The sequence below is a fragment of the Homo sapiens genome, chromosome 9, assembly GCF_000001405.40.
Source record: "Homo sapiens chromosome 9, GRCh38.p14 Primary Assembly".
Classification (NCBI taxonomy): Eukaryota; Metazoa; Chordata; class Mammalia; order Primates; family Hominidae; genus Homo; species Homo sapiens.
The window spans coordinates 101,303,241-101,323,510 of NC_000009.12; the positions used below are offsets into that span (position 1 = coordinate 101,303,241).

At 40.2% G+C, this 20,270-nt stretch overlaps 1 protein-coding gene across 2 annotated transcripts in view, besides 1 other annotated feature; it reads left to right on the forward strand.

Moving 5' to 3' along the window:
* PLPPR1 (phospholipid phosphatase related 1) overlaps positions 1-20,270 on the forward strand; it is a 296,409-nt gene that overhangs the window by 274,514 nt on the left and 1,625 nt on the right. For both annotated transcript variants that reach the window (NM_207299.2, NM_017753.3), the window contains exons 5-7: positions 5,971-6,221; positions 9,558-9,734; positions 14,125-14,256. In NM_207299.2, the coding sequence (NP_997182.1) occupies positions 5,971-6,221; positions 9,558-9,734; positions 14,125-14,256 (560 nt within the window). The remainder of the gene's footprint in view (positions 1-5,970; positions 6,222-9,557; positions 9,735-14,124; positions 14,257-20,270) is intronic.
* Positions 3,947-4,241: a silencer, noted in NCBI's record as "tiled region #15176; K562 Repressive non-DNase unmatched - State 22:ReprW". NCBI's record gives its function as "represses a minimal TATA promoter and a strong SV40 promoter by Sharpr-MPRA in K562 cells {active_cell/tissue: K562}" and the evidence as "EXISTENCE:reporter gene assay evidence [ECO:0000049][PMID:27701403]".

Genomic DNA, 20,270 nt, shown 5'->3' on the forward strand with positions numbered 1-20,270 from the left:
CCCAAAGTGCTGGGATTACGGGGACAAGCCACTCTGCCCACAGGTTTTTTTGTTTGGTTTGGTTTGTTGCTGTTGTTTGAGAAGGAGTTTTACTCTTGTTGCCCAGGCTGGAGTGCAATGGCACAATCTCTGCTCACTGCAACCTCTGCCTCCCAGGTTCAAGTGATTCTCCTGTCTCAGCCTCCTGAGTAGCTGGGATTACAGGCATGCATCACCATACCTGGCTAATTTTACATTTTTAGTAGAGACAGGATTTCACCCTATTGGTCAGGCTGGTCTTGAACTCCTGAGCTCAGGTGATCCGCCTGCCTCGGCCTCCCAAAGTGCTGAGATTACAGCATGAGCCACTGTGCCTGGCCAACAATTTTTGATAAGAGATTGAGAACGAATGTTAAGGAAAGTAGGGAGGGGTGGTAAAAGCTGCGGTTCAGACTAAGCAACTGCCCACAGAGTAGCTTTTCAACATAGATGCAGAGTACTGTTGGCAATTTAATCCAGATAAATTGTTTTTATGTCTTTTTCACTATTCTTTTCTTTTTTAAAGTTCCATGTGTTAGTTTCCCCACATGAAAATGTATAGAAGTTTTTATGTGCCCACGTGTTAATACTGAAACTGACAACCATTGTAATTTCTCAGAATCAGAAATAGGGACATTTCTAAGATATGCATGTTTCAATAAAACTACCCATCAATACTTCCCAAGTTCATCATGACTTGAGTTTCTTGTGCTTCACAAACATCTCCAATAAAAAGTATTTGTTGTGTATGACATAGATCTCCATACTCTAAGGTTTTTTTTATTCTCACTGCATTAGAATAGAGAGTGCTTTGATTTGTGAATTATGATTTACAGTTTTCCAATTCATGAGACACTTATAAAGTCCCAGTTTTTAATGATCACTTATTTTCTAGTTGCCTAGCACTATGCCCGACTTTGTGAATTTTATAAAAAGGAGATATGATCCCTGCAACATACATGCTAAATGGCTTTTTGTCAACTATGTTCTCTGAAATCAGGGATGCAAAGCACCAACATGAATTAGAAAATATGGACAAGTTTCTATGCTCTTTTATCCTCTTCTGTTAATCTCTAAAGTTTCTTCAGCAATTCATTCATTGATCCCACAATTATCTGTTAAATGTTTACTATGTGCCAAGTTTGATGCTAGGTGCTGGGAATACAATGATGAGCAAAAACAAATGTGTTCCTTGCTGTAATAAAGCTTCCATATTCAACAATTCTAATGTGACAGATGGAAATTATTGAATAATCTATGCAAGTGTAAAGTTCCTACTGAAACAAGAAATATGAGAATAATGGTACCATACTAGTCTAAAATAGGAGATTTTTCCAACATCCGATGTGATCTGTGATTATTTCTCCCTATTTACTCTTAAATGGGGCAAGACCTATGCATGCTCTATTCATCAGCAGAAGTGTGACTTGCTCTTGGCCAACTTTTCAGAGCTACAGCTTGAAAGCAGACGTACACAGCCCCAAGTCCAGTCCCTAGTTAGCAGGCTTCCTACTAGAGCTCCTCAGCTCCAAGGAACTAGCATCTGCTGTCCTCACTGTGTGGCTCATTGGTACTCTATAGAGCGTGCACAAAGCTGCTATAGCCAGCAGCAGCCACGCTCTCCAGAACACGTGGATCTAGTCCTCTTGGAATGCGAAATGCCCATGCCTGTGCCCCTGCCACCTCCTGTTGAGTTCTTGTCCAGGAGTCTCTCTGTAAATACATTTAGGAAAAAAAAAGGTAAGAGAGGAGAGTCTTCAGCCAATTCAGAGCGAACTCATCCAGTGGGGAGACAGAAGCCTTGTTTTCTGGGGAGTCTAAATCCTGGATCTCAGAGTCAGGGGCCTGATAGTATGAAAGAAAGAAAGCCTTTCCCTAGATTTTCTCCTGCCGTCTCTGTAGTCTCTGTCTTCTGAGGAGAAGCTTGAGTTTTCCATGAGGTAAAAGTGTGTGTGTGTGTGCGTGCATGTGTGCATGCGCAAGTGTGTGTATGTGTGTGAGAAAAAGAGAGAGATTAAACATACTCCATATGAAGGTTATCAACAGTGGACCCCTCTCACTCATCCTCCCTTCAGTTTGGTGTCATTTGGCCAACTTTCCATCTTTTTTCACTGTCGTCATGTATGATTTTAGTGGACAATGAGAGATGATCCATCAGAGGCTGTCAGCAAAGTGCCTTTTTGACTGGAGAATTACACATTTATAATTTAGTATGCAACATTTGGCCTTCAGTTTTGAGGCTCTACCCAAGGTCTCAGACTTTCCGGGCCTAAAAGGAACATGGTCCTTCCTTTGCTCACCCCACCAACCTCTGCTAATTGTTACTCTGTTGCATGCATCTAGGCTTCCTAATGAAGGTCTGCTGTGTGGACAGCACTGAGCAGTCTGGTTCTGTACTTTTCCCAGTTCTGAAGGGATCCTGGAATGAGGCCTGTTATTGTTTGTCAGTAGACCAATTACTGGTGGCTTTGAAGATCTCCTTCATGCACGTTTCCTGGTTCTGTCACTGTTTCTACTACATTCTTGGTGGAGTCAAGTGCTGGAGTCCTGTGCTGAGTCCATAGCAGGAATAGGGTCACAGAATTTCACTCCATGTCCTAAACTACTAGGGATCAAAGATCCTAACTTGTCCAAAGACATCCTATCTGAGATCAGATGGGGTCCAGGTAAAACCCTGAGAAAAAAGTGAGAGACTTTAACACCTTCATCATCCTCTTTCTTTATCCTTTGTTTAGCCCAGTGTGCATCAGTTATGTTCTTTTAGGTCACAAAGAGCTCAGGTTTCCTTAGACAATCCATGTTACTGGGACCTGATCATGGCCATCACCAGCAGACACCAATTTTTTTTGTCCTTCCAAGCCTCTTCTCAACTAATTTGACCCTTCCTTGGCCATTGCTAATGCAGTTACCCTATGCTGTGGTGCCAAGCTGGATGTGAAACTTCTCTAAGATGTTTGTGGGGTTCCCAATCTACACCCCAGCAGGAACACGATGCCCTTTGTCCACATTTACAAAAAACCCTTCTGGAGATTTGTATTTCCCAGCCCCTGAGGCTTGACACCAGCCTGAGGCGGGGAGCCTGTAAGTACCTCTTTACTTCTGTAATCAGAACAGGCAGGGCTTCAGCTCCTCCTGTGACACCCACATCTGCTTCCTCACCTGCTCTGCAGCTGATTTCAGAAACTTTGTAAGACTGTCTCGCCCTCCAGGTTGTAGCTCTTGATCTTCCAAACCAAGCATATTCAGAATTCTGAACACAGCCACAGCAATCACAACAAGGACATAGCTCTGGCAAATAAAAAGTGCTTTACTTCTGGACTTTTGTGTCTGTTGTAAATTGGAAAATCCATTCAGAAACATAATTGGCTTTGGCTTCTCTGAAGTAAGAAACAACACAGATGGAGCAGAGCCTTAAGATAAATAGAACCATCTGAGGGGTGTGGGGTTACAGAAATGAAAAATATCTATTAAAAAATATGATCTCACCTGAAGAATTTTAGACTCCAAGCCAAGATACAGAGACATTTTTAAAACATCTTCAAATCATACCTTGCAATACTGGAGACCAAATGGTGTTTCATCTGACTCTAAGGGCAAAAGTAGCTGTTTTTAGCTTCTGAGGCTTGTAAAAATACACACAAGGAGCGTAGGGTGAAGTAAGAGAGAGATGGCTTGAGTTCCTTTGGAAAAGCCCTGTATGATCTGACATGGTCTGTGAGTTACCAGTGCAGGTTCCACCGCGCTTTGTTGGTGTGGCCTGCATGGGGCAGGTGGGCTTCCCAGGCTGATGCGGTACTTCCTGAAGCTGGATCAAATGCACCAGAATGAAGTGGTTGGACAGCGGATGCTCCTGAAGCCAGCAGAAGAAACAGACACAATCCACAGAAGGCAGAGAGAAGAAGAGAAGCTACTTTCAGCCTTGGCATACAGGACAATGGTGTGGAGAGCTGGCCACCATACAATCGCTGTGACCACAGAGCTGGCACTGACCCAAGGAACCTAGAAATCCTCTGCCAAAGAAAGAATAAAACCTGCCCTAATTGGAAACACTTCTGACAAAATGCCAAAGGGAGATCCTGCCACTTTTCCTTTTTCAGATCGTAAATCACCCTAGTTTCCTGGAAAAGTTATGTCTGGACAGACTTATTGCCCCTTGAAAGACCCAGCAACCTGGTCTTTGAAAATCTTGCTGGAAGATGTAGAAAATCTCCAACCATTCAGACTTCCAGTACCTGGGGGTGAAAACTGCCTCGGATGATCAATGAATGCCTGCTCTCAGAGGTCAGACCCAATGAGTATGAGCCAGCAGAAGCTTAAGAGCTAGTTCTCATTATGATAAAGCACATTCTGGCAAGGCCACAAAAAGAAAGATGATGGCAATCAGCACAGATACAAATGAAAACCAGACGAAGGTTTCAGCCAAACTAGTCTTCACTTCTGCTATAATGGATTAATTTTTGGGTGCTGAAGTCAGCACAATTTGCAGATTCAGAACACTGAATACGGGAGTCAAAATTGGGTAGACATTTAGTTGAAACTATAGCAGACTCTTGACATTTACAAGGGTTAATGCTGCCTCTCGCACTTGTCAACTTCTACCTTCAATTGCATATAATACATCTTCATCTCTTCAACCCACTTATAGCTCTACACAGCCTTTCTCAGTGCATAGATGTAATATACAGGCCTTGAAATAACTCACAGCAAAGCTTTCTGTAAGGAAACCTCTGCATGTTCAAGCTTGTTGGGGCTAATCCTCTGGAATTTACCAGAGAACAAATAAAATCCAGGAAGTATAGCCTACTCACAGGGTTTTCAGACCAACAGCAAAACCAGAATAATGCACCCTTCCCCACCAAAGGATGATCATGTCCCTGGAAACTGAATGTTACCTTACATGGCAAAAGGGAATGCAGGTGTGGTTGAAGTTGTGATAGGGAGACTATCCTGGATTATCCAGATATAATCACAAGGGTCCTTATAAGAGACAGGCAGGAGGCTCAGAGTCAGAGGAGATACAACAGTGAAGGCAGAAGTTGGAATGATGTGAAGTGCTGGAAAGAGGCCATAAGATAAGGAATGAAGGCAACTTCTAGAACACATGGAAAAGGAAAGATGTGGATTATACCCTGAGCACTTAGAAGGAACACAGCCCTGCCAATGCTTTGAGTTTAGCTTAGTGGAACCTATTGTAGGCTTCTGAATTCCAGAATACAGAAGTCTGAAGGGGATACATTTGTGTTGTAAGCCCCTCGGTTTGTGGTAATTTGTTATAGCAGCAATAGGAGGCTATTGGTCAACAACATTTGTTTTTAACACTTTTCCTTTATTCTCATTTTCTGTTTCCAACATCAAATGAAACTCCAATTCAAGCAAAGTTTCTAGAATAATTTTTTTAAAAGACAATTCCATAAGATCCTCCTTTACTCTCACCTGCCATGTTGTAAATAACTCCTCCCAAGATGATTTACATTTCCAAGTAGAATCAGGGAGAAGGTATTTCGTATAGAAGGAGAGAGAACTGATGTTGATTAATTACGTAGACACCATAGCAAGTATTTTGCACGTAGATTATTCTCTTTTCCCCAAACTACCCCCTACTCCATTTTGCAGCAAAGGTAACCAAGATTCAAGAAAGATAAATAACTTATACTCTGAATGAGTCACCACTGATGTGTCTATATGACTCCAAAATTCAAATTATTTTCGTTAGACTGTGCTTTTTCTAAACTACCGATACAAAACCATAAAGTCCTAACAGTAGAATGTCTACATCAATTTGGAAGAAATGGTGATTTGGGAAGCAGGTACCACTCCTGGAAAGATACTCCGGGGAGTACTTAGAATCATTTTGATAGGTCATCATGGACTCTCACCGCTGTTTTCTCTTAGGAGAAAAATGCAATTGACAGAGTATGTTACCATTCCTAATGATTTTAAATCTTCTTATAGGGGTGTTTGCATTTGGACTTTTTGCTACTGACATTTTTGTAAACGCCGGACAAGTGGTCACTGGGCACTTAACGCCATACTTCCTGACTGTGTGCAAGCCAAACTACACCAGTGCAGACTGCCAAGCGCACCACCAGTTTATAAACAATGGGAACATTTGTACTGGGGACCTGGAAGTGATAGAAAAGGCTCGGAGATCCTTTCCCTCCAAACACGCTGCTCTGAGCATTTACTCCGCCTTATATGCCACGGTGAGTGTGCAAGTCTTGTCTCTCCTAAGTCCAGTTTTTGATAGGATGTGTGTCTCCCTGCCCTGTCTCCATTCTTTCATTGTCACTTATAGCGACTCTTAAATTTATGTATGGCATATTTCTCTACATTATGCTATTGATATACTAGCCCCCCCACACACACACTTCTACCCCACTTTCAATCTCCTGATCTGCCAGAGGATATTAGTTCTGGAATGTTTTGATAATCACCTAATTACATCCTCCCATTTACAGATGTGAAAGCAGGGTCCCACAGTATAGCTAAGATCATACAACCAGAGCAGGGACCCAGACTCCTGGTACTGTGTCTGAGATTTTCTTACCTCCCACAACAGTACTCTTTGTCAAGGTTTTCGTTGGTTTCGGAACAGCACACCTTCTCACACCTGCCTAGAAATTTGCAAGCATGGGCCTTATATGAATGACTGCTCCAACAACATGCAGACCCAGGATACACAGCTTTCCTTTGCTCTGGCACTTTTCTCCATGACTTTGCTAGGAGACAGGGATGATCCTAGAAAAACCTCAACACCCCAGAGTATGTTTCTCATTGTCCCCCAGATCGCACAGCCATTGACTGCCCCACTGGGGTATAATTTTCTCTGGTTTTCTTTTTGTTCTAGTAACAGAAAAACCAAAGTATGTCCCACATCTTAAAGAACAATGGTGTCTCTCTTATTTTCCAACTTTTTAACTGTATTCATTTTGGAAATAACTTCATTTCACTCTTGTCTGGCTTATGCATTCTTAGGACCCAGAATATAGACATGCAGAGATCAGCTCAAAGGCTCCACGGGCTGATACGATATTGCTGGTGGACATCAGGTGCATTTACCAGTGGCAGAGCAACTGTTGGCCCAAAACACCCCCTTTCCTTACTTCAACTTATTTTATATTCAGAATATGACTAGTCTGGTAATTCTCAATGGAAAGTGTGGGAATGGAAAAGACAGAAGGAAGCCTCCTTTCAAACTGTCCATTCTTCCCAAACATCTGAGTATGCCCTCAACCCACCCCCCAGGGAGATGCTACCCTTCCTGTCACTGAGTGTAATTGCAGGAGGCATGTTCTGCCTCTGCGGGAAGAAAACGGGTCTGTGCCTTCACCCCTAGGGTGGAAAAAAGGCAAAAACTCATATGGGTTTCTTATACCCCAAATGATTCTTTAATTTGTCACATAAAAACTGCATGTTCTGAATCTAATAATTAATACACAGTCATTCTTTGTGACTATGGGTCTGATCTATTTATTTAAAACAACCAGGAGCAGATAGTGCCTTTGTGTCCCATTTACAGGATCACATCGATAGGGTTATTTTGTCAACCACCAACTATGTGACATGAGTATGTGAAAAAAAGGACTTCAGCTGTCCCCACATTAAAGAAACAAGGATGCAAATAACACAGAAGCCTCAATTTACAAAACAGATTATAGCTCAGTTAAATGTCTTTGCTTTATCAAAAACAAAACCAAACCAAAAAACCTCTATGCAGGTATTTTTTTTAAACAAATAAAGCCCTCTGAAGTATCCAACATATTTTCAAATTTTCAGAATGTTGATTTTTCCTAATTATCTAGAACCTAAACAATGTATTCTTGTGCCTTTTCCTGTATTTTTTATCAGACTCAAGTCATTGCTGTGTGAAATTAATTTTTATAGTACCATTATAAAAATTATTCTGTTACTTATAATAAACTACTGTCTCAACAAATGAGATACGAAGTTCTTTGGGCAAGAAAGAAGTAAATATCATCAGCTCACACAGAATAAATGTGACTATAACATGTTCTCAAGGATTCAGATGTTATCCAATTCAAATCATGCCTCACAGACTATAGTCAGATAAACCCTGATATAAGATTCCAATTGCATAAATCTTCTGAGCCGCTATTACATGTCAAATGCTTTCAGAAATTACTCAACAAGGATTTCCTAAGTACTGGTTAATACTATGAAGAATACCAACTAACCATAGGCTCATGCTTTTAATAGTTTTTAATCTTTCTTATAGGAAAGATTTATGACAGATATAATTGGAAAACATAATAGCATGAACAACTGAATATATGCAGCATAGGTTTTAAGTAACATTTACCAGAGTCTGAAAATAGTGTAATAATATGCTGTAATTTATGTAACTGTGATGTAACCAGTTTTATAGGGAATCTGTTATATAGAAGAGATTCCTATCTTCTGGTATTCTCACCAGTGTTGAGGTATCATTCTAGAATATTAAGAATTTCTATTGTAATACTGTAAAATGCGTCTATTTTAACTTATATGTGCTCAGGCCATATACACATACTATATAAGTATCAGCATATTATTTTTTAGAATTGCTAAGCTCACATAGCACATTTGTTAAGAAATGATAGACCAATGGTGCCCTCTAGTGGTGTTTTGTAACTACTACCAAAGGTTAGCTAAAAAAGTGTACTTACATGAAAAAGGCATGGCTTCCTAACTCTAAACCACCAGGGACACATTTGCTAACTGAACCTGTAAAACGTCAGAGTCTTACCCAGCACCTCACAACAAACTAATAACAGCCGCCTACATCTCAGGTGTCATAACGTGTATCATCTTTTACTTAGCTCAGGTCTTCTTGACCTTTTGTATCTTGTGGAACACACAGAAAATTTTAATATTTTAAGAAACAGTGGAGTAAATGAATGAATAAAGCTGATCACAGCTGTCCTGAGGAATGTATGAGTCAATTTACTAGCACAGCTGAAACCTATTTATGTGATGCAGTTGTTGGGAGGTTCTAATTCAGCCTATCAACTAACTCATCAGTCAACACTTTGTTGGTATTAATCACCTGAAGGTGTGACAAAGCAACTAGGAACTTTTGGGGACACAAAAAATAAAATGTACGGTCACTTACAGTCACTCTCCTACCTGGTCTTCTCCACCAAAAGCTTCATTCCCATAGAAGGTTTATTTGGTATCTCAGACTCTCATATGGATTTCTTATACCCCAAATGATATTTAAACTTGTCACATAAAAACTGCATGTTCTGAATCTAATCGTTAATGCGTTCTTTGTGTCACTAATAACTTCTGTTGACATGTCCACTAGATTACAAAAGACTGAAGAATGTACATCTGTTCATTGTTCTTGCTGCACTGATTTCCTACCTAAATAATTTATTAAATATCTTAATGGAGTTGTTCAAGGAATACTAGTTAGTGTGGTTGCTTTGACACAAGCCCCTGCTTGTGTATGCTGGTGTATGTACCTGCTTGCTTGCATGTGTACTCATAGCACAAGGCAGCTGCCTGGTCACTCCCTGGCCTCTGTCCTATTCCAGATGTATATTACAAGCACAATCAAGACGAAGAGCAGTCGACTGGCCAAGCCGGTGCTGTGCCTCGGAACTCTCTGCACAGCCTTCCTGACAGGCCTCAACCGGGTCTCTGAGTATCGGAACCACTGCTCGGACGTGATTGCTGGTTTCATCCTGGGCACTGCAGTGGCCCTGTTTCTGGTAGGTTGACTTCCCTCTTTTTACCTTTTCCCCCTCTTCTACTCTCTGAAAAACTGTGAGTCAGGTTTCCCAGACTTCACCATCTGTGTTCCTTTCGTCCCAACCTTGTGAATTACAATTATTCTCCAAGTATTATACATGCTTTTGCTACAAAAATGATTTCAAAACACTCTTTCCTTTCAGAAACTGGATTGCCAAATTCCTTCTGGGTGGCAGGGAGAGAATTGCCCCTAGAAGTACAGCTGGCTCTACCCCTTTCAACACTGGGCTTGGGACTGGGGCCAAGCAGACTAATGATAAATTGGCACACCTTCAAACCAATCTTCTCTAAGTATTTGTTCTCAGCATATTGGGGGCAAAAGCTAAGTGTTCCTTGAGGGAAGAATAGAGAATGAAGAGCACTGGTAGAAGCAAGCAGCCTCTTCTCCAGCATCCCAAGAAACTCAACTCTAATTCCAAAGTTGCATCTCCTACTCGGAAATTTTAAAAACCCTGCAGATGATCACACCCGCCCTTTTTAGTGGGCCTCTGTTACTATTGGAACATGCCTCTTGGGAATCTTACTTCCGCTAAACTGGCTTCTCAACCACCTATCTTCCTGGAGAAGAGTTTTGGTTAATACATTTTTCTTGTATTTCTGATTATGTTTTAGTTCCCCAAATAGATGGAGGTCTGGCCACCTGCTCACCTAGGAAATCCCTTAAATTGAGTTGGAGTTGATAAAAAGAGGTTAATTTTTATTCTTTTTGCCTTCTCTTTCACGGTTGTATTGAAGTATAATAGGTATACAATAAATGACACATCAAGTATACAATTTGATCAATTTTGGCATACAACTTTCTCACCCTTCCTTTTCCCTTATCCCCAGGCAACTGGTGATCTTCTGTCATTCTATATTAGTTTGCCTTTTCTACGATTTCATATTAATTGAATCATAATGTATTTTTTCAGGTATCTTTCACCTAGCATAATTATTTTGAGATTCATCTATGTTGTAGAATGTATCCATAATTCCTTTTTATTGCTGTGTAGTATTCCATTGCATGGTCACACCTCAGAGATGCAGATTTCTATTATCTTCAAGGACTTAAAACAGGCCCAGAAAAATTTATGATGAATCATCAGGCCTGGAGACTTATACTGTGCATGAAATGAATCCCCTAACAATGTTCAGGAAGCCTCCCCAAGGAGAAAGAAGCCATCACAGTCTTGTAGGACCTCCCTCCTCCTATTCTGCCCTCTCTGGTCCAAGATCCATTTGGATTGGCATCACACATAGCTGGATTTCAGTCATAGGACTTAACACACTTCCTTTTCCTAGCCCCTCTTCCTTCCCTCCCCAATATGCAAAATACACACATGCCTCTCCCAGCCTCTAACTTGGTTTTCCAACTTGTAAAAAATCTAAGATACAGACAATGCTCACATTCAGAACATTGATTGGGAAGCTTCTTTCTAATTCAAAATGACAGGCATATCTCAGAGATAATGCAGCTTTGGTTCCAGACCATTGCAACAGTGAATATCACAGTAAAGCTAGGCACACAATTTTTTGGTTTCCCAGTGCATATAAAAAGTTATGTTTACATTATTCTGTAGTCTATTAAGTGTGCAATAGCATTATGTCTAAAAAAAAAAAAACCAATGCAGTTACCTTAATTTAAAAGCACTTTATGGCTTTAAAAAAGTGTTGACGCAGACACAAAGTGAGCATGTGCTGTTGAAAAAATGGTGCCAATAGACTTGCTGGACAGTGTTGTCAAAAAGCTTCAATTTAAAAAAAAAAAAAATATCTGCAACATGCAATAAAGTGAAGAGAAATAAAACAAAAATGTGCCAGTATTTTGAATGGATCCAGGCATTCTTCCTATAGTGAAAGATGAAAAACTAAAATGCAAATACTCTGGATGAAGTTGCAGGAAAAGCAGTGCTGAAGTCATCATAAAATCTTGATATCTCATTAGGAACTTTCCTGAGGAACGCCTTTTAAAAACATTTTATGGATACATAGAAGTTACACATGTTTCGGGGGTATGTGTGATATTTTGATACAAGCATACAATGTATAATGATCAAATCTGGGTAACTGGGATATCCATCACCTCAAATACTGTTACTTTGTGTTAAGAACATTCCAAATCTATTCCATTTATTTTGAAATATACAGTAAATTATTGTTAATTATTGTCACTCTACTGTTATAGTGAGCAGGCCTCATTTTTTCCATCTGACTGTATTTTTGTACTGATTAACCAACTCCTCTTCCCCCTATCGCCTACTACCATTCCTGAGGAATTTTTTTAAGAAGGAAAGAAAACAGGTGACTTGAAGGGAAGAGAAGGGTTTCAAAGGGAGATCAATGGTGTATAAATAGACTTTGGCTCAAGAAAAGACAAACAATGTTGCTGACCATCAGTTCTAAAGCCGCCATCCCCAGTTAGAGAGGAAGAGCCATTCTGACTGTTCCAAGCAATTTTGTAGGGTCTTTGTGGGATGATATTGGGGTTTGCTGAAGCCCCATACACAAATCCTGCTTCAACGTTAAACTTGTTTTCTCTCCATAACATGCAGCCCTGTTTCTCATCACTCAGTAACTACTCAGTCTGCTAGTGCTTTCAAGTGACTTCCCAATTGATGTCAAAATTTGTTTGCCTACAAATGGCCTTTACGTAAGACCCAGATCTGTGGTTGAATTGCTCTGGCATAAGAGAGACCACCCTGTTGGCACATGCATGTGAACACACCTCACAGACACACACAAAGCTGGGAAATGGGAGGGGAAGGATGTCCTGGAGGAGCCTGGAGGCATTCCAAAGCAGAGACTTGGAGAGGAGACAGAAAAAGAAGAGCAAACACTGAGAATGGCAGGATATCTACTGTAAATGTTCAATAGTGCTTTATGTTTGTGGTTCCCATGAGGCGGAATGTGGGAGGAAGGGGAAGGAAGTTATTAGCTGAACAAGTACCACATGCTGTATGCTTTATAGACAGCTAATCAAGTGCCCCCAGGGCAACTCTAACAATATTCCTATCCTCATTTTATAGATGAGGAAAATGAGGCTCAAAGATAAGTAACTTGCCCAATAGCCATGCAACCAATAACCAGCAGAGGGACCTGGGTCTCTCCACTCCAAAGTTTCTACAGGTTCCCCTCTTCCCAGTTAAAGCACAGTGTAGGGTCCTCGGGCGCGGTGGCTCACGCCTGTAATTCCAGCACTTTGGGAGGCCGAGGCCAGCAGATCATGATGTCAGGAGATCGAGACCATCCTGGCTAACACGGTGAAACCCCGTCTCTACTAAAAAATACAAAAAAGTAGCCAGGCGTGCTGGTGGGTGCCTGTAGTCCCAGCTACTCGGGAGGCTGAGGCAGGAGAATGGCATGAACCCGGGAGGCAGAGCTTGCAGTGAGCCGAGATCGTACGACTGCACTCCAGCCTGGGTGACAGAGTGAGACTCTGTCTCAAAAAAAAAGAAAAAAGAAAAAAGCTGAGTGTAAGAGTGAGATGGAGATGAGCCAGGTAGAGAGGATGCATGCCAATGTGCTACAGGGTTTGAAGAGTAGCAGGAAAGATTCGAACATGCTGGATGAAGAAACAAAGAAAGTATGGAAAGAGGCAGGGAAAAGGAGGGTTCTTCTTGGGCAAAAAAAAAAAAGCAGGGAAGATGGTAGAAACAGTCAGTTATGAAAAGACCTTGGCAGGAAACAGAAAAGTGGGCAGTAACTTACAGGGAAAGTTTTAAATGGAAGCGATAAAAGAAAACTCAAGAGTTATCTAATCTCAAGCAAATAGTCATAATCTGAAGATGACTATCTAAGGTAAGAGTTAAAGACCAGCTAACATGGACTGAATACTTGCTATGCATTTGGCACTTTTTAAGGGGCAAAATAGTATAGGGATATGATTTAAGGGCTCTGGAGTTTCAATCTCTGTGTGACCTTGGGCAAGTTAGATAACTTCCCTGTGCCCCCCTATCTAGACTGGAGATAATAGTACCTCCCTTATGAAATTGTTGGGTGGGTTAAGTGAAATTGGATAAAATCCTCAGGGTCGTGCCAGACACATAGTGGCCCTCAATAAATTTTAACTATTATTATGAGGTGGTTTGCATTCACCATGTCTTTAATCATTACAAATCTGTGAAGTGGGTATTACTATTCTTATTTTACAGGTGAGAAAACAGACCCAATGGGGTGGAGAGCGATTATTACTGGTCATCTGGTGATTAAACAGACGTTTCCACAGCACTTCCCATAGTCCCTTTCCCCTCTCTCAAAGGAAAAAGGTCACTCTGGTGATGATATTCAAGGGGAAAGGCCTGCCACCCTCACAGATGCCAGGCATTGATGGCTGCAGTCTGACCCCATTCTTTTTTCCCCCTCATCCTGCAGGGAATGTGTGTGGTTCATAACTTTAAAGGAACGCAAGGATCTCCTTCCAAACCCAAGCCTGAGGATCCCCGTGGAGTACCCCTAATGGCTTTCCCAAGGATAGAAAGCCCTCTGGAAACCTTAAGTGCACAGGTATGGTAAAGCAGTTTTAGCAAACCAAACCCACAGGCTGAACACTTTGGGAGGTCAGTATCAATCCATGAATACCACTTAATCTACCCAGCATCAATGAGAATCTGATTAATTTATTGTAAAGGCCCTCACAAAAGGCAGCCTTCACTTTTTCCCCTCAATTATTCCTATATTTATTCCGGGGGTTGGGGCAATCATGAATCCTCAGAGAGTTCTTAGTAATGTCTAACTTAAACCTTAGCTGTTTCAGGATACTTTGACCTACAATATAATATCACATTCATGAAATTTGCACTAATCATATGGAAAAAAGCAATTTGACTTAATAACTAGGATCATATTTGGAAAGAAAAAGGTTGTGTTACACACAGTGATGTAAGTTGGAGGCACATTTTAAAAGGCTACTAAATGTCCCTTTGGACCTGTTTTTGTGACAAAAATTCAATGCAACAGTACCTCCTGATCTGTTACTCTACAACAGAACCTTGCATCATACCAGGGATACAAAAAATAATTGATATAGTCCTTGCCCTCAAATAACTCATAGATAAGGAGCAGGCATGGTGGCTCACACCTGTAATCCCAGCACTTTTGGAGGCCAAGGTGGGAGGATTGCTTGAAGCCAAGAGTTGAAGACCAACCTGGGCAATGTAACAAGTCACCATCTTTACTAAATAAATAAATAAATCACAGATGATCAGGAAAGGTGGATATAAATAGGTAGTCATAATATGACATGCTGAATCAGAGGTGCACAAAGTGCTGTATGAATACAAATGAAGGGGAAAAAAATCTACTCCATGTGAGAAGACAGGGAAAGCCAGGAAGACGACTTGCCAACTGAAAGGAGCCTGGACAGATGATATGAAGCACTTAATTTTTCCCAGGACAATTGCTAGGAGCTTTACAAATATATCATTACTTGAACAACCACCCTATTGAATAGATACTATAATTCCTATTTCACAGGTAAAGATAAGAATGCAGAAGACAGGCCGAGCGTGGTGGCTCACGCCTGTAATCCCAGCACATTGGGAGGCCAAGGCAGGTGAATTGCTTGAGCCCAGGAGTTTGAGACCAGACTGGGCAACATGGCAAAACCCTGTCTCTACTAAAAAAATACAAAAATTAGCCCGGCATGGTAGCGCATGCCTGTAGTCCCAGCTACTCCAGAGGCTGAGGTGGGAGGAGTGTTTGAGCCTGGGAGATTAAGACTACAGCGTGCTGTGATCGCGCCACTGCACTCTAGGCTGGGTGACAGAGTGAGACCCTATCTCAAAAAAAAACAAAAACAAACAAACAAAAAAAACACTGAAGACAGTGATGTTAGATTACCTGCCCGAGGTTGTATAGGTAGCAAGTAGGAAAGCTGGATGAGTAGGAGTTCTTTAAGCAGATGGGGGACAACTAATAATATGATTTTCATTAGCATGTCATCTTTTTCGGGTAGCTGAGCCCGGCTAAAGTGTTTATGTTTTGTCATAGTCTGTTTATCGTAAAATCTTGTTTGCATTTGGCATTTTCCTACTCAAGCATTTTTATAGAAGATATAAAAGATAAATCACTTCCCTTTGTTCCCTTTGGAATTATTATGTACTTCATATCAGTGCAATATAAAATAATATTTTCACTATTTAACGATTATTAACTATGACATCTCTCTAAGACAAACTACCCTATGCTCTTTTTTCCCCCGCTGAGATGGAGTCTCACTCTTTCGCCCAGGCTGGAGTGCAGTGGCACAATCTCGGCTCACTGCAGCCTCCGCCTCCGGGGTTCAAGCAATTCTCTCGCCTCAGCCTCCCAAGTAGCTGGGACTACAGGCACGCGCCACCACGCCTGGCTACTTTCTTGTATTTTTAGTAGAGACGGTTTTTTGCCATGTTGGCCAGGCTGGTCTCAATATCCTATGCCTTTTTACCTTTAATTAAATCTAATATTATTAATGAACCAGGTTTTGAGGGCGGGGCTTGGGGGGGTTGGAACAAGAAATCTACCTCCGTATCTCCATTTTAGGAAAAATATTTAAGGTTCTCCATTAATACAGTACCAAGTATTGTTTTGTTTTCCCTTAATTTGTATTAAGGCTAACATTTTAACTTGGTCTAGAAATAAAATATTAACAAAAATATTTCTGGTTTATTTATATACAGCCTGTTGCTACAGGTTAAATATCAAATTAGCTAAATAGCGATACCCTGTAATGAAATAGTGAAATAGAATCTCTCTAACTTTTCTTCCCTAATTACAATCCTGTGTTTAGTGAAGTCAGAGAGGGTCTCTATTTTGGGGTGGTAAAATGAAAACAAGTGAATTTTAAAAAGAAACAGAAAATATTTGCTGAGTTCCATAGACATACCAGTCTCTGTGTCCTTGTAAATGCTATCCCCCGAATATCCTGATATAAGAACACCCCTTTTGCACACCTCATCCTTCCACCCAGCACTGCTCAAGCATGACATCTGTCTAATGTCTTCCCTAGACTTCTTTCTCTCTTAATTCTCAGGGCCACTGATGGTTGATCAGGCCTAGAGATGTCCAGACTCTATTTTGAGGGATTCTACTTAAATTGAAAAATGAAGTGCTAAACAGGGTTTCAAAAAATGCTATTCACAAGATAAAGGATTCTTAAAATAGATATTAATTCATTGTTTACAGGTAGTAGTTGAACTTCTCTCAAACCTGTCAACAGATCTTTGTGATTATGGATGCCGCCTCATATGGATACAATTTGAGGCCTTGCCCGAATACCAGGCTTGGGCCAAAGGACCCTCCAGACCCCTCTCATGTGACTGTCACTCATAAGTAAAGCCAAGTGTTCCCTCATGTCTGCCTCCTCCAAAGACTTGGGACTTTTTGAGGACCCTATAAACCATGTCTTATTTACCATGTATCCTGGCATCCACTAGGTGTGAAATACATATTGATGGATGAATACAAACTTGTCCCAAAACCTAAAGTAGACACTTTAGCCAAAACCAAGAACCTCAAATTTGACCATAATCACTATTTGAACATCCACGGAAAGTAGAGATTTATAAGAAACTATGAGAAGGACTTCTGCAGGCTAGCCAGAATGAAGCCACAGAAAGCTAAAGAGAAGTATTGCCTCTCACATTATGCTATCCATACCAGTCGTGAAAAATGCAAGTCACCAAGCATCTGTTTTTAGTAATAAATGTTTCCACATGGATAGTTAGAAAGATAAACCCTTTATTTGTTGGTCAAGAAAAGAGAACTAGCATTTATTGAGAGTCACCTCATTTAATATTCATGATACTGTATTGGTTTTATTATATCCTATTTTATAGATGAAGAAAGTAAGGCACCAGGTTTAAGTAATATGCCCAAGGTCACCCAGTCAAAATTAAATGAAGACCCATCCAATACTGAGGCCCTGCTGGTTCTCCTACACCACACAGTCTGAGATTTCATTCAATGAAAATTCTTTTTTGAAATCCACAACTCCCAGCATTGAATATGAAAACATGCTACAGGGGGCTGGTATACTGAACCTGAGCTACAGTTTTTCCAAAGTAAATACCCCCCTGTGAGCAAGAACTTCCCTTGCAACTCCAACAGCCATGGTTTCTGTTAGAAACGGCATCTTTGTAATTTTTGGAACAGAACCATCTTCCCAGCATGTGGACCTTTTCAGATCAGAGATTAGAACCTCTCTTCAGAGCACACATTCGTACACATGAAATCCATCCCACTATTCAAAATATCTTAAGGAGAAGACTGGATGGGGAGGGCATCAGTCACGCTCGTTTCCCTTTCTCCCAAGACATTCTTTCCCCTTTGCCACATGCAGCCCTCAGAGCCACAGTGCTCTGGGCCTCTCTAAAACATTACCTCAAATTTGAATATCTACCTTCTGTGATTCCCCTTAGTATAGTTGATTGAGATGGGGTGCATTTTCTAAAATCTTTCCCAAATACCATAGAGAAACCAAAAAGTAAACAATTATAAAACAAAAATAGTCAAGTTTTTCAAAGCATTATTTTATGATTGTATAAAGTTGTTGGGATCCCAAAGGAACCAATTCTTAATTATCCATGTTCTACACCCCGCCCCACTCACAATGTACATGAGCAATCAGCTGAGTGTTGTTCAGTTGAGTTCTTGTCCACACAGTTTCTAATAACAAAAATTAAATTAGAAATGAAACAACTGTGTTAACTCACTCTGGATGTGGTATAGAGTCTCCAGATGTCTTCCCCATGGGGGAAAAATATATATAATTATATAAAATATATATTAAATATAGATACATATATACACTAATATATATTTATATACATATATAAGTATATATATATGTTACATACATACATATCATTTAATTTTGATTGGTGACCTTGGGCATATTACTTAAACCTGGTGCCTTACTTTCTTCATCTATGTATGTATATATACTTATATATGTATACATATATAGTTAAAAGATACTTATACATATTTAATATATATTTTATATCACCTGAGGTCAGGAGTTCAAGACCAGCCTGGCCAACATGGTGAAACCCCGTCTCTACTAAAAATACAAAAATTAGCCAGGCGTGGTGGCAGGCGCCTGTAATCCCAGCTACTCAGGAGGCTGAGGCAACACAATCGCTTGAACCCAAGAGGCATGGGTTGCAGTGAGCCGAGATTGTACCTTTGCACTCCAGCCTGGGGGACAACAGCAAGACTTCATCTCAAAAAAAAAAAAAAAAAAAAAAAAAAAAAAGACAGAAATCAGGAAAGCAATAATAATAATTAGATCAAAGCCACAGTTTGTTAAAGATTTAATAATTTCATAGACCCAAAGCATTGAGTTTTAAGTTCAAATAAAAGACAAGACTTTAGGTTTGCAAGAAGTGGGAGGTTATATATATATATATTTTGTTGTTGTTGTTTTAATTGAATGCTTCCATTTGATGAACCTGGAGCAGTTACTATCTGCTGCTAAAGTTTCTATTATATTACCAATGCAAGAAAAAAAGTGTCCTTGAGCTTTCTGTCTGATTGTGGCAGCCAAGATTGAATAGAGGAGTAATGGCAGGGAAAACATGGAGAGAGAATTTTTGCAACTCAGAAATAACCTTGTAAACAGTGAAGAGCCCATTTTACTCAAAAGAAGAACCTAAATATCCACCCTCACCTAGTTGATTACATGTATAAAAGCTTAATAGTTAAAACTAATTAAAAGCCAGCCAGTGACAAAAATATTTGACATAATTACAAGGAAAATGGATGAATCCTCAGTCACAGGAGATTGTAATACTTTTCTCTTATTAATAAGCAAACAAAAATAGTAAGGATACACATGATCAATAAGGTTGATCTGATGTGCATTATATATAACCCTCCTCAAAACACATGAAACATTATGAAAATGCATCGTATACAAGACCATGATACAAGTCTCAAGAAAAACATTTTAATGGATCTGTATTATGTAAGCCACATTTTCTCTAGCCAAAAAAGTTAAACTAAAAACAAACCCCCCAAAAATTCTATACATTTTGAAATAATAAACTCACTTCTATGTAATTTGTGACTCTAATGATAAAACATGTAGAAAGGTTTTAAACACTAGAGCTGTTTCATATTTAAAACATTACATTAAAAATGTGCGGGATGCTAAATTACTTTGAGGCTCTTAAATGTTTATATTAGAAAATACTTAAGCATAAGACAGAATTATATAGAGAATAAGTTTAGGTGAAGATGCTAGGCACAGTAGCTTGTGCCTGTAATCCCAGCACTTCGGAAGGCCAAGGTGGGAGGGTCAGTTGAGCCCAGGAGTTCGAGACCAGCCTGGGCAACATAGTGAGACACTGTCTCTACAAAAAATTTAAAAGTTAACCAGGCATGGTGGCATGTGCCCAGTGTCCTACCTACTCGGGAAGCTGAGATAGGAGGATCACTTGAGCCCAGCAGATCAAGGCTGTACTCCAGCCTGGGTGACAGAGTAAACCCTGTCTCAAAAAAAAAAAAAAAAAAAAGTTTGGGTGAAGAAGTTATCC